General features: G+C 41.0%; 1 protein-coding gene across 8 annotated transcripts in view; it reads right to left on the reverse strand.

The window, feature by feature from the left end:
• The window catches only part of MAF (MAF bZIP transcription factor), a 398,116-nt gene that overhangs the window by 372,552 nt on the left and 6,987 nt on the right, over nt 1-18,577 (reverse strand). For 6 of the 8 annotated variants that reach the window (XR_002957804.2, XR_001751902.3, XR_002957803.2 and 3 more), the window contains exon 2: nt 10,707-10,768. Coding sequence is in view for 4 of the 8 variants with exons in the window: in XM_024450279.2 (XP_024306047.1) it covers nt 10,735-10,768 (34 nt within the window). In the remaining 4 variants the exon portion in view is untranslated. Of the gene's footprint in view, nt 1-1,524; nt 4,185-7,953; nt 8,189-10,706; nt 10,769-18,577 lie in introns of those variants that run through there. The other 2 variants (XM_017023235.3, XM_017023233.3) reach the window with 2 other exon arrangements.

Below are 18,577 nucleotides of genomic sequence, written 5' to 3' on the forward strand. Positions count from 1 at the left end.
TCCTCTCTTCTAAAGGGGTGCACATGAATCTCAGTACAAGTTTCCCTCTCCCCTATTGTGAAGTGGTCATTGCCCAAGCCTTACCCAATGCCATGACCCCATTATCAGAAAAGCAGGCAGCTGACCATGAAGGCCCACCCTTGGCTACTGCTGATTGAACAAGAGATATACACCTGACTAAGAGGAGACAGTCAGCTATCTTTTCTGACAATTCCTATAACCCCATTTTCAGAAAATCTAATGAAGCAGGCAAGGGGCCATGAGGACTCACTCTTAGCTACTGCTGACTGGACAAGAGATGAACACCTGACCAAGAGGAGCCAATCAGCTATCTTTTCTGAGAATTGGAGCTTAGAGACTCTAGCCAACCTCTGCTGAGGGTTTCAAAGGAACTGGCATGTTTAGGGTGGGACCCAGGGGTGATGGTGGGAATAATTTGTACTGCACAGTAGAGAAGGCCTGCCTGCTTTCTGGAGGTAGAACAAAGCAGATGTGCAAAAAGAGAAAAGGGAGGAACGTGGGACAAAGAGAATGTACCTTCATCCCCAATTTTTCCCGCTAGCCAGCTTCTATTTTATATCCTTAATAGATACCTTCATACCTATAACAAAGGAACAGAAACCTGAAAGCATAGTTTTTATATCCAAAGAATCCCTGGCCAAGACCCTAGGAAATTAACACATTCTTATACTACCTCTGCTTTCCTTGGAAGGCTCATTCCATCACAAATGTCTGGGTCAATTTAATCAGTGATCCTGGATTTTCTACAAGAACAGAGAGTCCTAAACCGGGGTCCTGAAATCCCACAGGGAGCCTATGAACACAGTAAAGGTACTCATGAGCCACTCCCACTATTAATGGGAATAATGACCTTTACCCCACTGTAAAAACCTATAGGGTTACCCTCATAAGGTTTTCTTATCTTCTGAGTATACATCAATGGAATTGTATCACTGCTCTTGCTTTTCTGATTAATAAAATGAATACAAAGAATGACAAATGAATTTTTCAGATAATGGTTTCATGGGGAGAGATTAATAAAAGAGTCCTGTGGTACTAAAAAAAAAAAAAAAAAAAAAAAAAAAAGGACCAGTACTTTAGGCAACCATTTTTCAAAAGTGCCCCATACAATGTGAATTCCATCAGGCGATTGATTAAAAAACTGGTTCCATGTTCTTGGAAGTTTGAAAGATACCATATACCACCTGAGCTGGTCCTTCCCCACGGAGGGTCGTCATGCATGTTAGTATACAAAGCCTCTGAGGCGGATGATAGCAAGATTAAATGTTTAACTTTCTCTGACCCTTAATTTTCCTAAATTGTTTGACCACAAAACTCCCTAAGCACAACTTTATTTATTTTTCAGGAGGAGTGCTATTTTTTTTTTTCAGAGGAGGGCAGCTATAAACTAACGTTGTATGTTTTTCTTAGTTTTCCAATCTTGAAAAACTTAAAGTGTAGGAGGGAAACGTCCAATATCATAACGGCAAAGTGATTCTAAAACAAACCAAGGCTTGCAAGGTGTCAAGGTCAAATTTTTATTCCATATAATATTGTCCAAGGCCAAGCATGGCAGAGTGTTTACCCTGTGCCAGGTGCTTTACATACATTATCATATTTAATCCAGGTGCTTTACATACATTACCATATTTAGTCCTCTACACATGCCTTTGAGGGGCTATTCCTATCTTACAGATGCAGAAACTTTGTATCCTTTTTAGTGTTACTACAGATTTTGCTGATAACTTTTTATTAAATGGGACTTTTATTAGAGTGATTTAATGCTGATTTATCTTCACTATCCAGTAATTTCCTGAGTGCCAGCAGTGCACCTGATACTTTACACATTACAGGGTATTAACGAAATGTGCCATCTATTGTTTTTTAAATGGTCATAAAAGGACACTCTCTTTTTCAGTAGAAAAAAAGCCACTCATTACCTACCAATATCAAACCACAGAATCATTTGTTTTCAGAGCCGGAGGGGTCTTGGATCAAGACCACTGGCAGCCACAGCTCCAGCCTTGATACTAATCACATTATATGCATTTTCTTCTGGGCCTCAGTCAACCCTACTGAGAAAAAGATGACAAAGACGGAGAGGAGGGCACCTGGGCTCCTACTACATGTGCTGAGGTGAAAAACGGGCTGCTTAACTAAGGAGGAATGAGGGAATCAACTGGTCGAGATAGTGTCTATCTAGAAATATCTGCATGACTGTGGTGAAGGGTCAATTGATACCTTAATTGCTTTGTGCCTGAGTCTCCTAATCTGTGTGAAGGAGATTAGAATATCTGCCTCTCTATTCATTGTTACAGGTCAAAGATGGCATAGATCTGGTGTCCAGGAGACACTCGGTGCATGGTAGCTGTTGTCATCATAGCCCATGGAGGTTTTGGGTGACCTCCAAAGGGCAGGGCTTCGGGAACATCACTGTCTTCTGCTCCACGGAAGTTGTCTCTAACTCCTGACATGCTGGAATAGCCCTCAAGTGATCAGAAGAAATGCTAAATGTTAACTTTTCTGTACATATTTTTAAAATCTGACTTTCATAATAGTCTCCACTGTTGTAGAGTTAGAGAAAAATGAAAGTCTATCTATAGTAAAATTTTGTGATTAAATATTATGGTGCAATGCCCCAAAAATGAAATGTTCTGAATCTTGACTGTGGATCTCCATGTATATTTTAAAACTTCCATCGACCCCTTTTTCTACATTTTCCTCTTCATTTTGGTGACCTTTGCAGAAACTGAGCTCTGGGTAACCTCTGACTCAGTCTGTTCAATACCCTTGACATTGGTTACATATGCTGGCATTCTGGTTTCAAATTTATGTCTTTGGTACCTTTGTAAAAGTATTTCCCAATTTCTGAACTAATGAGCCCATAATAAATAGCAAATAACAAGCAGAATAGCTGTTTTAAAAATATATATTTCAATTAATGAGATAATCTGGCATTAATTTAAAATGATCACTTTTTTAAACCAGCATTTATAAATTTAACTCCTTGGCTAAACATGTTATTGTATACCTATAATATGCTATGTGCACTGTATTTGTAATTTACAGAATACATTGATTTTTATTTTATTTTATTGGTATGCTTTGGGGTGAGTTTTTTTAAGATTTATACCAGGGACCCATTTTGCCCCAGAGAGTCACACCATGCTTTCTTCAGTATTAATGAATCCAAAGGCTAAATGCCCAGGACTCAGGTGCATGCCGATATTTATATTGATACTCATGATCAATTTCTTCTCTACTTTCACACGATGTATCATTTTTCAAATGTAAAGATTTTATTATGTAGTGCTTTGTTTCTAGATAGAATTCTATAGCTCTATTCATTTCTCATATTAACAGGATAATATTTAAATTTGAAAAAAACAGACATGGAAATATAAAATGAGAAAACTACAAGACTCCCCCAATAAATAACACTTATCTCCCATTTGACAAATATTAGAGAAGCTTTGACACACAAAGCCTTTTAAAAAGCCATCCGTCCAAGTTGAAACCCAATGGTCCTGAGAAATAGATAAATAAATTTCACTTGCTATTAATCGCAAATTACTTTTTCCTTTAAAAAAATTAATTAAACACACTACATGAAATAAATATTTCAGGCGACCAGCAGCAAAATGGGAAAATACCATGTGTTTGGAGCTTTAGGGCCCTCTGAGTACAGAAATTTATTTGCAGCAAGCAGAAAATAGACAGCAAGCATAAAAATACAGCAGAGTCCCCCTAGTAAAATTATTTATCAAGCTAACAAGGGAGGGACCCTTCCAGTAACAACAAGCCAGCCAGGAAAAGACATGGCTTTATATTTTACCTTTGGGTTAGCAAACCAGTAAAAATGCCAACTGACAAGCACTTCACATAAACATTTCTTTCTAAATGAGCTTCCTTGTTAGGGGGAAAGAAAAAAAAAGTCTTCCAAGCTAAGGAGCCCTATAGCTTACAGACAGAGAATTCTAGTGCGCATACTCTGACTCTTTGATGCAAAAATAATACTCCTTCATGAAAAAGTAAGGGAATGTGAATTATGAATGGAGTTTAAATAACAAATTAGAAGTTCATTAAAGAAAATGTGCTTATATCCCATCAATGTATCCTTGTACTTGGATGTTAGAAAAAGTCACAGTTTCAGAAGATGCTTTTTCAAGACCAGCTTTAACAATCTGTGAAACAAAACACATATATATTTATATACACAGATATATATGTGCTGACATTGCCTCTACCATACAAGCCTCATTACTATATTTTTTCAAATATTTATTTTATGAGCAAAACCCCAAAGTCGGTTTTTACAGTTTAGTTTACCGATACCAAACTTTGATTATAAATTACAAGTCACTTTATTGCAGCTTGCAATACCAAAAGAAAAAGGAAAAAGGGAAAGAAAAGAAAAGAAACAATAAAAGGAACCCTTGAGTCACAGTGGCCTGATCCCAATTAAATTTCAAAGAAATAGTAAAAAGATGCATTCTCCGAATAACTGCCTCACTGCCTTCTCAATAGCTCTACAAATAACTCCTGACAAATTCACAATGAAATCACACACTAGGATCTCATCTTTCCTAAAGTGAAAATGTCATTGTTTAACCATGGCAAACATGGGAAGGTGCCTTTATTATTATTAGTGTGGAAGGAAATGATGCTGAAGAGGATGGGAATATCTGAATGGCACTGTGACATGTTGAGTAAAGATAGAAAGAAACATCTTGCAGGAACCACACACCAGCCCAGCCTCCTACCAATACTTGAGAAAATAAAATTTCTCAGCAACAGCGATGGCATGTTTTTTTTATTACTAATATTACCCCTCTCAAACAAAATAGGACGAAAACAAATAAAAAGAAACCCTTCCTTATTATTTCCCCCCTCTCTTGAACAGAGTGACATTTCACCACGCCTCTGTCAAACCTCCCACTCTCAGGCAGAGACCAAGTTGCACCCTGTATTTTTCTTCCAGGGTCAGGACCAAAACACTCCAACACTAACCCTATCAGCCTGATTTGAGAACTGGGTCTATTATGTGGCCACAGATCTGCAGGGATGGTTTGTAGCACAGGTCATGTGCTATTTCATGACCATAGCCTTTGTTGCCCTTAGACTAGGGTCTTGTCAGGATGCTACCAAGTGATCAAAGATCAGAGCAAACAGATGGAACAGTCTAAATAACACGGTTCCCCCAAACTGCACATGCTGACTAGAATGCCTAGGACACATCAATGAACAACTTTATCACTGACAAATAAGATGAGGAGAGGCTGAAAGCAGAAGTTCTGGAAGTTCTGATTCTGTGGTTCCGCTGGATTAGAAAAACATCGAAGATGCAGAGACAGTACCTCGGGGGAAAGAATGGGATGCCAGGGGGCTTCGAAGGTCTGATGAGTCTCCAGACGCTGCTTGGAGGGAGAACAGCTGGGATCCCTCAGACCTGGGCAGCTGAGTGGCCCCAGCTCCACGGCTTAGAGAAATCCTGGCCCCATCACAAATTCTTTCTCCTCCCCTACTGTGACAGATGCAGCCTCAAACCTCCGAACCTGCTTGGTAAAGCTCATGTAGCCTGTGCACTTTTCATTTTCATTCTACTAGGTAATGGTGAGAAACTGTTCCAGGCTTTAAAAGGAGAAAAAAAAAAATAGAAGAAAAATTTTAAAATAAGAAGTCTGGAGAAAACCAATACCAAATAAACAAAATAGCCTTTGAGCGTTGGGAGAGAACTTCAAGTATGTGCTACCCACTGGAGCAAAGAATGAGAAAGCAGTTCTTAGTTTGGGTCAAATAGGTCAACACGGGTAAAGGAATTTCTGATCTCTCTTGGCTACCCTTACTGCTGAGAGAAGAGAGATGCCAAGCATCTCTTCCAGCAGACTCACACGCCTTCTAAAATGCAGTGCTTGATTTCAACACTATTAAATGTACAGTAAGCACCTTAAGTTTTTTTAAAAGAATTCTAATCACTCCATTAAAAAGAGGAGAGAGAAGAGGAAAAGAAGTAATGAAAGTTAAACAGAAAATTCCATTCTGCTATTCAGAATGTTCAGCCCAGTAAGAGACCCTCATGTTCGCTTTCTCCCCCATTTCCTGTTCATCAGGAATGAACCTCATTTTAAAATATAAACAAGCCAGAGGCACACCACAGCAGTATAGACTCAGCCCTTTAATTAACTACCACCGGCAACAAAAGGTCTCTATTTTGATTAACTTTGCAGAGGGGGGAGTCAACCCTGGCGTTAGAATCCCTTTAAATAATTACAAACCCCAACTCAACTCTGCTGCTGGCAGCACCCAGGAGCCAGGGAAGAAGAAAAGAAACTTTGTCTGTGGAACCCAATTTAAAGGAAGAGCGACCTCAGGGTCAATTTCTCGGAGCATTTCAGATCAATTCAATTCTCACCTCTACTGCCTACCTGCTAGCAAATGAACTTACTGTGCTTTTCAATAGACTGAGAGGACTAAAAAGAAATCGTCACCACTGCATGTGAAAAAAACACATTATTAGATGATGCTTGCCGAGGGAAAACACAATCCTACCGACAAAAATCTGCCTTCACCTCTCTTTTTGGACTGTCAGGCTCACCGTACTGATGATTAAGTTGTACAATGCACCCCTGGATTGTTAATTACGTGTTAATGTCATTCCGCAGGCTTACACCTGAGGTCACTGCTCGGTGGCCACCTTGTCTCTATTGACAATACCTGTAAATCTCTCAGCTGGTTGGATTTTCCCACTGAGTACCTGACACTATGTCCTTCCATTTGGTATTAGTTCCTATGTGAAATTTTATAAGTGCTAATAATTTTACTGTATTTCCTATAGATACAGAAAACAGAGGCGTGCTGAATTTTCCCACTGTCTTACTGTTGTCCTGCCATTTTCCTAAGAGTGCAAAATAGAGACCGAAAACAAACCCACAAAACTCAACCCTGCTGCTTTAGCTCATTTATTGCTGATAATTTCATTAGGTGTCAGGAGAAGCCAAAACTGCAGACACAAAACAACAACTTTACAGTAATTTTTGGATGGAGGAAATAAAAGATTCAGCAAGCAGCAGGTGAAGGGAGTTTAAACATTGGCATCTGTGAACGGCGGCAGTAAATCGGAGATTTTGGCAGGTGACTGAACGTGTGCTTTTAGAATGAAAGCTCTACAGAAGCATCATTTTGTTTTAAGTAAGTAATGAGTGCTGCACTTTTGCAGAAATTCCTTCGTTTTATTTTTTATTTCTAAATGCTTAATGTTTCTTTAAGTTGGCTCCTTCAATAGTACCCCAGAGTTGACTGAAAATAATACAAGTTTATATGGCATAATTAGGCTAGTTACGCTGCACATGCTCTGCTATAATTAATTGATTAAATCGGCTCAGTAGTGGGCCAGTGCCCACAGAAAGAAAAACGTTAGCCAGGCTGTATGGAAAGGGGGTGATGTGGTAGTTAGGGAGGAGTATAATCCAAATAAGCAACAATAACAAAAAAACAATTTAGGGTAAATCCAAATAATAAAATGCTTTAAATGAAATTGTTTGGCCTTATTTTCTCAGTGCCAACAGATATATTGATGTAATTAGCTTAAGACATACTCGTCGAATTTGGGATAGATGGGTCTCTGCTCCAAATCTACAGCAGAGAGCATTCTCCTTCCCTTCTTGTGGGTGGGGGATTTACTCTTAAAACCGAATATTTAGAAGCCCTGGGGGGCCTTCAGTGAAGATGGGGTCAAGACCAGCCACCTGGATTTTTCAAATAGAGGCACCAAGAAATCAGAACTCACAGTGTTGGTTTTCACATGTCTTTTGTATGGCACCACGTGGTTCACCATTTCTGTTAAAATATGTTGATGGGTTCTGCAAGGGAAATTTGGTTATGGCTTCTTTACTTTTACATTTGAAAGAAGTAGCTATACACGTTGCGCTAAGACACCCACACCAACACTCAGCATCAGGAAACCACATTTGCATTTTATTTCTGGATGATTACGGGCAACACAGAAGGACAGGCGTGCAAGATAGAAACAAGATTTCTGAGTACTTTTTACTGTTTTTGTTTTGCTTTGTTTTTCCCCAGTTCACAAAATCATAAAGCCTTCCTTACGTTTGACAACTGTTTGAATTCATGTCATCGGATTAGGTGTAATCAGGGTAAACGATGTCCACTCCATCTGCCGATTGTAAGACTAGAAAAAAAATATCGATGGGTACTTAAGGCCCAGGAAGTGCTGTTTATACCAGTTCCATCAGTTTCTCCCTTAGGTGACAGGAAAGCTACAAATGGGCCTCTCCCCTAGGTAAGTAAGTGTCCCACCTGCCCTGCCCTGAGACAACTCTGTAAGGTCTGGTTGCATCCGGATGGGTCTTAGCCAGTGTCAGGAATATCTGAAAGGGGCAGAGCTTAGACATGAGCACGCTAAGGTCCATCCCCACGTTCTGATCGGTCTTTCAGCGCATAACATGCAAGAACATGTTTTGAACGCCAACTCTCCACTTTGGTGCAAACCACAGTTAGTTGTGTTGTCTCCTTGTCACAACTCAAGATAGAAGACAGCCTCAAAGGGAGATTCAAAAGCCACCTTTAGCGCGAGGTTAAAACATCATCATCATCATGTGTTTCCCTGGCAAAGATGGTACCATGGAAAAATTTACATCAGGTAGCCAAATCGGGTGAAAGGCATACAAGGAGTGTGCAGTTGTTGTCTATGTTAATCTTCATGTTAGAAGCCCTATTTTAAGAAGGCACAGTCTTGGCGCAGCATGCATGTTGGTTGATGTGCGTATGTTAAGCTGTAACATGCCCTAATGAAAAATGTTAGTCAGGATCAAGGGATGCTACTGAAATAGAGATTTTAATCTTTTTGAGATACCACTTGGGATGAATATTTTGTAATATGTCCAAGAACCATAATATAATCTAGAATGCTTCTGAGACTACATAAAAGGTAATTAAATGACTCCCCAAATAGCTTATGATTTAGTTTTTATATCCTAGCCTAGAAAATTGTCAGAAATAAGCCATGAAGCTGTACATGGTTGAAATTAGCCAGAGAGCAGAAAAGCTAGTGGTTCATCAGTTTTGGCTTCCATGACTGAAATCCCTTAACCAAAGTGACATTCTGAAAATAAACTAAGTAACTCCCCCAAGAGTACCAAGTATTGAACTTTTCATATATCAGCTTATAATATCTAATATCACGGAGTAACTTCAAGGAATTGTCCTTCTCCTCCCCAGATTCCCCATCTGACCAAATGCCTTTCTCTTCCTTGCTCTCACCTGTCAATCATGTTCACAGCTGAAATTTGATTTCTTTCCCACCAGTAACCTTATATGAAATATTACCAGGGGGTAAGGACCAGTGTGAACCTTGCCTTTCAAGTTCATTAACTCTTTGCTGAAAATGGATGGTTTCAATGTCACGAAACCTGCCAGTGGACCTAGATCATCATATTTAATAGGAGGTTTTCACATTGTAATGATAAAGGCTGAGACAATAAAGGAATAAAGCATCGGAACTGCATGCACAGACTCAGACACACAAATTAACCCCAAATGTATACACTGAGTTTAAAACTATGTATGGGAGCTATTAAAGAAAACATTAATTTCATCCAAGACTAGAAAATAAACAACAAAATATTCACAATCCAGTAATTTAAAGTAAGACTCTCATGGTAGCACCGTGTAGAAGTAAGTAATCAGATACTATTTTTAAAAAGTGGGAAAAAATGAGGCTATGTTTTTCCAACACTCTCAACTCACTGGATCCTTAACGTACCTCCTTTGCAAAGAGCAGCAATTTGAAAGTGTGATTTTTGCCCCCCTCAGTTTCACTAAAAACCAAAAAATATATTTCATGCAAATTTCTCAGCAAGCACAATTTTTAATTAAAAAAATCAAATGTACCATTAGCCAATAAGAGGTGATAAGAATACATAAAACTATCACACTAAGTAATTATTGGTGTAAGAATGTTGGTCTAGTTTTCCAAATGAAGAGGGTTCATAATAAAATTCATGCTGGGACACTTGTAATTGAAAACCCATTTAAATAGCTCAATTCCATTATTTTAATAGATGAAAATCAGGTTTCTGCTTCCCACCCATCTCCTCCTTCCCCTTCTTCCTTGTATTGAAGTGGGGAGGGGATCCATAGTCACATTTGGACGCAGAAGTGGGGACACACTGTGCTTTGAAATTACACTAAAATGTCCAAATGTAAGCAAGAACTGAATTATAAGTGACTGTAAATTTGAAATGTTTATGAGGCCCCGGTAAAACCGGCCAAGGGCGATGGATACTAGTTTCACAGATTCACCCAAATTATCTGACACTCAAGTAGAAGAAGCAGCTCTTTGAATGTCAGTAGACTCACGTTGGATAAAGCTGAAGATCTGAGATCTACTCAAACTGGATTAGTAACTTGACATAACACATGGATATAATGAAATAAACACAGAAAAAATAAATGCATGCTGATTCTCACATATATCGCATGTATCCCTCCTCTTTGGCACCTAGTGTCACCATTTACATGACACGTGAAACCCAAATACTAAAACTAATGAAACAGGAACTTTTCACACCTAAAAAGTTAGCAGCATTCCTTGTTTGCTTCCTTGCTTTTCCCTTCATTTAAAAAAACAAAGAAAAGGAAAAAAAAAAAAAAACTCAAGCACATGCAAATCAAAAATCAAGATGTACCTCTTTGACTTCAGGCAACTGGATTTTTTCACATCACTGATGTAGAGGATTCCCTTGGGTACCTGATTTAGTAAATATATTAAAATAAACAAAGGGTAATTAATAACCACGAAGAATGTTTCAAGAACAGTATGCTACAGGCAGCCTAACTATCTATCAAAAGGGCAGAATTACACCAAAAGAAGAGTGATTTTGTTCCATTTGCTTTTGGGTGGTGGCCTCAACCCTGTCAAGCCAGAGGAGGGGTTGACGTGGAAGGGAATGGCCTGCGTTACAAGTTCACTCCCTCTGAACTACTGTTTCTCAACTGAGAGGCTGAGATAGCCATAACCCACTGGTTGGCAGCCTGGATCAGCTTTGAAGCTGTCCTGAGTTCAAAGGGAGCCAAGAGATTCTGGGTTCATAGAAGGGAAGGATTTGAATCATTTCTGTTGGGCTTCTCTCAAGGACTCTCAGGCTGTCCGCCCCTGGGAGAACCACACTGGCCCAGCTTCTGCCGGTGTGTGCTAGGGTTCCTTCTCTTCCATCTGCCCCCACCTCCTCTGTTGCTTTGTCTATCCTGCTGGCACCACTGACCTTAACTGCAAATGTTCTTTTAACAAATAGAACAGCTTAGATACTGCCTCTTTATTTGTTAACTTCTGCCCTGTTTAAATTAGTAGCAGGGAGTGCTTAGAACGGTGATATGAAAATGAGGTTGCTTTAAAGAAAATCTTTTTGCTTCACAGTGAATAACAAAGCACAGTAATTCAAAGTAGTTAGCTTTCTATGGTTCAAAAAACGCTTATTGCTATTAGCTGTACTAATGTAAGTGGCAAAATAATTATCATTTACTGTACAGAGTCCAATATTTTCCAGACAGCAGTTTAATAACAAAGCAGACCTGTCATTTCTTCCTATAGCTAGTCACAATATAGAAGTTCGGACTGTCAAAATATATTTAAAATCTAATTTAAAAAATTCAACATGGTCACAGAAAATCTGTGTACAATAACGGCGATAAACTAGTAAGTCAATCTAATTCTTTTTCCAACATGGATATTCAGTTATTTTTCTTTAATCCCCCACACTTTTATTTGGATTACCTTACAATTGGTGCGAACAAATATGAGCTATGCTCATGCACCTGCTGAATTCTCTAGGCTGCTGTAACAGAACATATAATCTTTCTTTACTTACATTTTCATTCCACATAACCCTCTAATTCCTTCAAATGCCCTTTATCTAAATGGTAAGACTATGCCCACAGCACTCGGATAAATCATTTCTTACCCTTGTATCTGTCAAAGTTGCCCTAAACACGTTATATGCGTTTATTCACATTTTGTATAGAAATGCTTTTCAAATCTTAAGGTAGAAACTACTCGCCTTTACGTATTAGTATACATTTTTTTTTGCCAAATATATAATTTCTATGCAAAAAATAATAGGAAAGAAACAAGAAACAGACTGAAGTGATAAAACCTGGAAGTGTATCAGTATCAGTTGTTCTCCATTTGAAGTTCAGATGGCTAATCTCTTTAAAAAAAAACTTCCCCGATAGGATTACTTTTTTTTTAATCTTTAGAAACAACAGAGTCTTTTAGAAACGCCAGTGAATAGAGTTTAAAAGCTTAAGAGATTGTGGGGAGAATATTTTTGTAATTCCTTGGGGACGTTGCAAACATATGTTAAGCTTCGGCAAGGAATATTTACATGAGATCATATACTTGTGAGGCATTTTTCAATTTTAGAAAATTATTACAGAGCAATAATTGGACGTAGGCTTTGCAAAATGCCCCCTTTGCCTTCCTGACCATATCATTGATAGTCTCCGTTATTTTTGGAGGAAAAAAAACAGGCCTCATTAAATGCGATATTTGGCATCTTGCCTGAAATCTCATAAAGTAGATGTCCTTTTTAGATCATTGGTGTCATTTTCTTCAAGATGACCTCTACTCTCTGGCCATCTGGGGAAACCACCCTGTTATCAAAGCATTTACTTTCAAAAGGGGGGGGGGGGTAGATACTATTTGCACACCTGAATAGCGTCCAAAAGCCATTGCAGTTTCTGTGTTCATATTACCTTCTTTCAGACCACTTACTGGGGAAAGATGGTGGGGGAAAAGGAGGTCTCACATCGGGGTAAGAGAGATTTTCGAGCTGGGCCGCAGTGAAGTAATCTAAGCCACATGTCTACGAGCACATAGCTCTTACACTTGGATCTGTTTACCTAACAATTGAAGAGTTCTTTAAATAGTACAGGAGCATGCACTGATATTCCAGGGAAGATTTTAAAAGGGCTCATTACCTGCACAGTGCAGTAAATTTACATGGGGATCGCAACCTGAAAACGTGTTGCAGGCTGTCAGCATGTGTCTCCACACTGCTCCGAGTCACAGAAAGTCTGGCAAAGGGAGCTTACCTGCCTTTTACGTGGGAAGATTGCCCTAAGACAGCAGTTTCAGCCCAGGCTCTGCGCATGTCTACCAAAGGACAGAGTTGACTGATGAAGTCTGCCTTTCGGATCATTTTTATTTCATAAAGTGGGAACTGTAGATTTTTCTCTTTTCTTTCTTTCTTTCTTTTTTTTTAAGATACAGTCTTGCTGTTTTGCCCAGGCTTGAGTGCAGTGGCGCAATCTGGGCTTACTGCAACCTCCGCCTCCCAGGTTTTAAGTGATTCTCCTGCCTCCCAGGTTCAAGCGATTCTCCTGTCTCTGCCTCCTGAGTAGCTGGGATTACAGGCACGTGCCCCCACGTCCTGCTAACTTATGTATTTTTAGTAGAGACCGGGTTTCACCAGGTTGGCCAGGCTGGTCTCAAACTCCTGACCTCAGGTGATCCGCTCACCTGGGCCTCCCACAGTGCTGGGATTACAAGCATGAGCCACCACACCGGGCCAGATTTATCTTTTAATAGCTTGCCCCCTCCCTAATGTGTTAAAGGGTCCCAGGAAAAAATAAATGAATAAATAAATAAATAAATTTTTTAAGCCAGATGAAAAAATATATTGGAGTGAATGCCTGAAGATGGAAAGACACAAACATCACCTTTTAACAGATAAAATCTTAGAAAGATTACCGAGGGTTTTTCCGCCTTCTATGAAAAACAAGATTTACATAAAAAATCTGACAGTGTAAAAAGCATCTCAGATACTGACATGTTTGTTTTAGTTTCAATGTATCTATCTGTGCATGAATAAATCCTTCCCTAAGAGAGAGGGAGAGAGTAAAAAGTAGATTTTTTTTAAGGTGTAACGATACTTGCCTAACTTAAGTATTCTCACAAACCGAGGGTCCCTCTAAGAAAAAGGCCCCTCATGGAAAAGATGCTTTCTGAAATTAGTGGTTTTAAAAGTCTGTCCTCTTGAGACAGTTCCTGGATGCCTGAGATGTGTCTAGAACTGTATGAAATCCAAGAATGCAGGCAGGACCCTCATCCTGGCGCTGTTGGAGCAATCCTCATAAAGTTTGCTTGACTGACTTTGTTTTATAATGTGCATCAAACTACACCACGGAAACCCCAAACCGTATCGAGATTTCCATAAAGATTTTTAAACATGCTATCTGGATTTCCCGCTTGCCTTTCTCTTTTTCCCTCTTACTCTGTCTCTAACCGAAGCAGGAAAAAAAAAGAAAAAAGAAAAAAAATCTGGAAAATGGGCCGGAAAACTAATAGAAGAAAAATCAAATGATCTGGAGCCGATGATCTTATTTACAGAGGGTTCCTGGGGCCGCGATCGGGTGGAGTGAGGGGGTCTCAAGGTGAAGGGCGGAGCCTTGCGGGACCGAGTCTTGCTCCCTCCCTCCAGGCGCCCGCCCACCCAGGAGAGCGGCGCACCGGGGAGTTTTGATATCCCCCGGAGCTCGCTCGCGCTAGGGCAGTCCTTTTGACTTTTTAAACCAAATTTGAACACAATCCGAGCTCCTGCAGGGGTGCGGGAGCTTGGGTGGGCGCGGGGCCCTGGGGCGCGCTGGGTGTGGCCGTCATTAGCGCCCCCGGGCGCCGGGCGGCGTCGTGGGCATCTCCGAGGGGCGCTGCGTTGCTGGCGTCTGAGCGCACCGGCTCCCTGGGCACTGCCGCGGGTCTGGGACTGCAGGCCCGGCCCAGGACTGAGGGACTCGGTAGCTTCAGGCAATCTTCGGGACCCGCCCCCTCTGTCTGGGCTCCAGTCCCTGCGCACCTACTGTACGCCCCTCGGGGGACCTCAGAGGGTGGGGAGCACACCCAGCCCCACGCAGCTGCAGCCACCAGGCTCGGGCAGTGATGTCCAGGGCTATTGGGCCCCGCAGAACCCATGCATAAAGGACTGGGATGCGGTGTTCCTGTCCCGGGCCAGGTTGGCGGAGGGGGGGATGATGGGGGGGCATGGAGGGAGGGTTGTTCTTAGAAAATGGGAGAGGGGACAAACTCAGCATCCTCTCTGCCTACATCTCCTTCATTCCAGGCTTCAAGACCATTGCACCAAAAGCTCTGGCCAGCTTTAAAGATTCCAGCTGAGCTTCCAGTGATGCTCCCCGGACCCTCTGCATAGCGCTGTCTGTGTCTACACTTAAAGTGGGGCGGAGGTGACTTATTGGGTCCCAGATCTCAGCTTCTGCCACTTGTTGGCCTGAGGACAGTGACTTTTGAGGCTCTTTCATGGCCCTGGATGACCAGGCATGGAAGGAAAAGGTGTCAGAAATTATGGAGAGGACACTGGGATTGGACAGGAGTCAGGTGGGAAGGGTGCAGACCCTGGTGCTAAGGACGTCACTGTTGTTTCTAGGACTCTGTGGAGAGCTCACAACCTGTCAGCGGCTTGTCAGTCACCCTGCAAACAGATCCTTCTTGGTGGGAGGTTTTGGGGGGACTCTGAGAATGACCTGGAGCTGACCCCTGGTGACTGGAGGTCATAAGCCAAGGTTGGCCTGTGTTAAAGTCTGGGCCATACTCTCCCAGCCTCTGCAGGCAGGTCCCTTCCTCTCCTCTGCTCTCTGGGCCTAGTTTGGGGTTGCCTATTGTCCTGGGATCCTCGGCCTGCTTTCCTTCTGCAGAATTCCTCCAACAAAAGTCAGAAACGCACTTCTACAGGCCTCAAGAAGTGGATGAGGTCATATAGAGAACCAGGGCAACTATAGGTTGCAAAAAGGGACTCTGAACTCCTGACCTAATTTTTCAGGCCAGTGTTCCCTTTACAACAATCCTTGTTGGGGATTCTGGAAGGAGAGTGATTTTCTCTCCTTCCTATCCAGTTCTATAAGGTTTCATCGCTTCTCCTGTTCCCTAACGGAAAGGACCAACCACAAGGAAAAAATAGTTCTTTGGAATCTCAGCTTGGAAACGGTCAAGGCTGGTAATCAGAATATTTAGAATAGAGAAATTCAGAATGCGAATCACTGGTCTGCAGCTCACACCAAGGCCTGGGTTGAGGGGTGAGGGGCAGGTTGAGGAGTGCAGGGGAAAATACAGAAAACTCCTTCCTCTCCTTCCACTCTTTTTCCCAAAGCTCAGCAGACACGACTCCTTCATCCTCCTTTCTTGAATTAATGCTCCTTCTAATTGTAACTAAAGATCTAAGGTGCATCTCTGTAGAAGAGAGGAATGTGATTTTGCAATCCACAGTTCTAATTATAGGGAAAACTGTTATTTAGTAAAAAGGAAGGAAAAGGAAACGAATTGTGTTGAACAAGAGAAGAGGTGCTCAATAGAGGCTACGATTTGTGTAAGGAACTGTGCATTCCAGTCATAGTCGTGGAAAATGTGTTTTATGAGTTTCTTAAAACTGTACGACTCTGATGAAAATTCATAGAAAGATCTTATTTCTGTGCGTCGTTGGTTTGCTCTTCCCATCTCAGCCTTTTTCCTTCGGGCAGACTTACGGAAAACACACAGAGGGCCTTCGAATTTAAACAATAAAATACTGTCACGATGTCATAAAACTATTGCAGTGACCATTTAAATATTGGTACAACATGTCTGGCTGGTCCAAAATGTCACCATTATGAATCACAGACTGATACATTTATAAATATACTCAAATGTTAAGACATTAACGATTTCCTCAAATCTCTCCATTTGGGTTTAGTCCCCAAAATTGTTTTCAAAAAGGAAACATGTGAACATATTTTAAAGAAATGGACAGCCGAGCCTAGTTTACTTCTGGCATACATGCACACTAGGTCTGACGTTAGCCACGGAGCAAGTGAAATTCAGACTGGTAACAGGGATTATTTCTGGGCCTCCCGCTTTTAAAGTTCCCCTTTCTCTTGTTTCCCTCATTTCTCACCTCCTACAAATGGTGCAGGGAACAGGGAGCCCGAGATTTTATTTGCTACGCCTTCATGCAAAGCAATTTGATTTGTTTGTTTAGTTTTGTTTTGTTTCTCTCTAAAGGGTAAAGATGCTCCCAATTTGTGGCAGGACTGTGTTTCTTTATGCCCTAACAATCATGAGACAGCCTGGGAGACTGAAATTCTCTCACCCTGTCCCCTACCCCCGCTAGGGAAAAAAATGCTAGACAGAGCTGGGTTTGTTCAGGAGCTGGGGCGGAGCAATGCCTGGAGAGAATTCCCCTTTTCTGGGGCTGTTTGATGTCTGAATTTTGAAGATTTACATCAAAAGCGAGAAAAGCAGTGTTATGGCAAGTTGGGTTAAGACTCTTGCTCCGCTTTTAAGCAAATGCTTCAAAACAAACAAATCCTGATTGAGGTGGCTGGACCTGGACCACCTCCTTTATAACTACTACATGGCCTGCCTGGACCTGGGACATCTTCTTTTAGATTTAGGATGGGCTAAGAGTGAAACAAACTTCCAAGTTTCTCTTATTTTCCTCAGAACAACAAGGAAGGCACAGGACCAAATTATTCATTCAGCATCCTGACAAATAATCAGCGGAGATAAAAATTGTAGCCTATCACTGCAGATAAAACTTCTCTAAAAAAAACCAAACAAACAAAATAAAAGAACTAAGACATTTCTTCAAAGAGACGGACAAAATTATTTTTCAAAAATCAAATGACAGTGAATCGTAGTGGGGAACCTTGCAAATCAGCAAAGTGAAGCTGGTAAATCTCACTTCCTATTCCCTCTTAGTGAATGTTTATATTAGCAGCGCTAAGAAGAGCTTGGTTGTGTGTTTTACCGGCATGGAAATCAGACGGCTGAAGGTTGTCACTCATGTACTCCTGTATTTTAGTCTTCCAACCTATCTCAGTCTTTAACTACCGGCAGCCAAAACAGAAAAAAACAAACAAACAAAAAACAAAAAGAGAGAGAGAGAGACTTATGTGGCAATCAGACTTTTAAATATATTGATTGGCCTAGTAGACTGGAGGAGTGTATTTCGTAAAGCCAAGAGTATGTGAATACGGAAGTAAGTTGGCCTAAACGAAAACAACGGCCACAGCAGCAAAAGCCTCCCAATGTACTGTGCTTGGGAACCTTTGAACGTGTCATAGGCAACTCTAGATATTTAGACCAGGACATGCTGGGAATGCAGCTACCGAGACAGCTGTGTGCCATGTTTGTGAGGGTGACCATGATCTGTCTTCTGTCCACTGCTTTTAGCAGGAAAACTGGCAGTGTGGCAAGGGGGTGGTTCTACTTCAGAACAGAAGTATCTAGAATTGGTGTTGCTAAGTAAAAATGACTGGGGTAAAGGCACAAGGGAGAAAAGATCAGAGCGTGAGCATCCTGCATTCAGTAATAAACAGCATTTCCCATCGGAGGGGTCTGTGTTGAAAGACTCCCAGGTAGTTATGGCTTTGAGACAGTGAGGAAATGATGTCTCCGTAGCAGATTTATTTGCCAGGCAAAAGTAGAATGTCTGCCTATTTGATGTCAATATATTAATGTGTCAGATACATTGTAAAAAATTATTACATGGTTTTTGAAAAGGGAAACATGCAA

The sequence above is a fragment of the Homo sapiens genome, chromosome 16 (genome assembly GCF_000001405.40).
Source record: "Homo sapiens chromosome 16, GRCh38.p14 Primary Assembly".
Taxonomy (NCBI): Eukaryota; Metazoa; Chordata; class Mammalia; order Primates; family Hominidae; genus Homo; species Homo sapiens.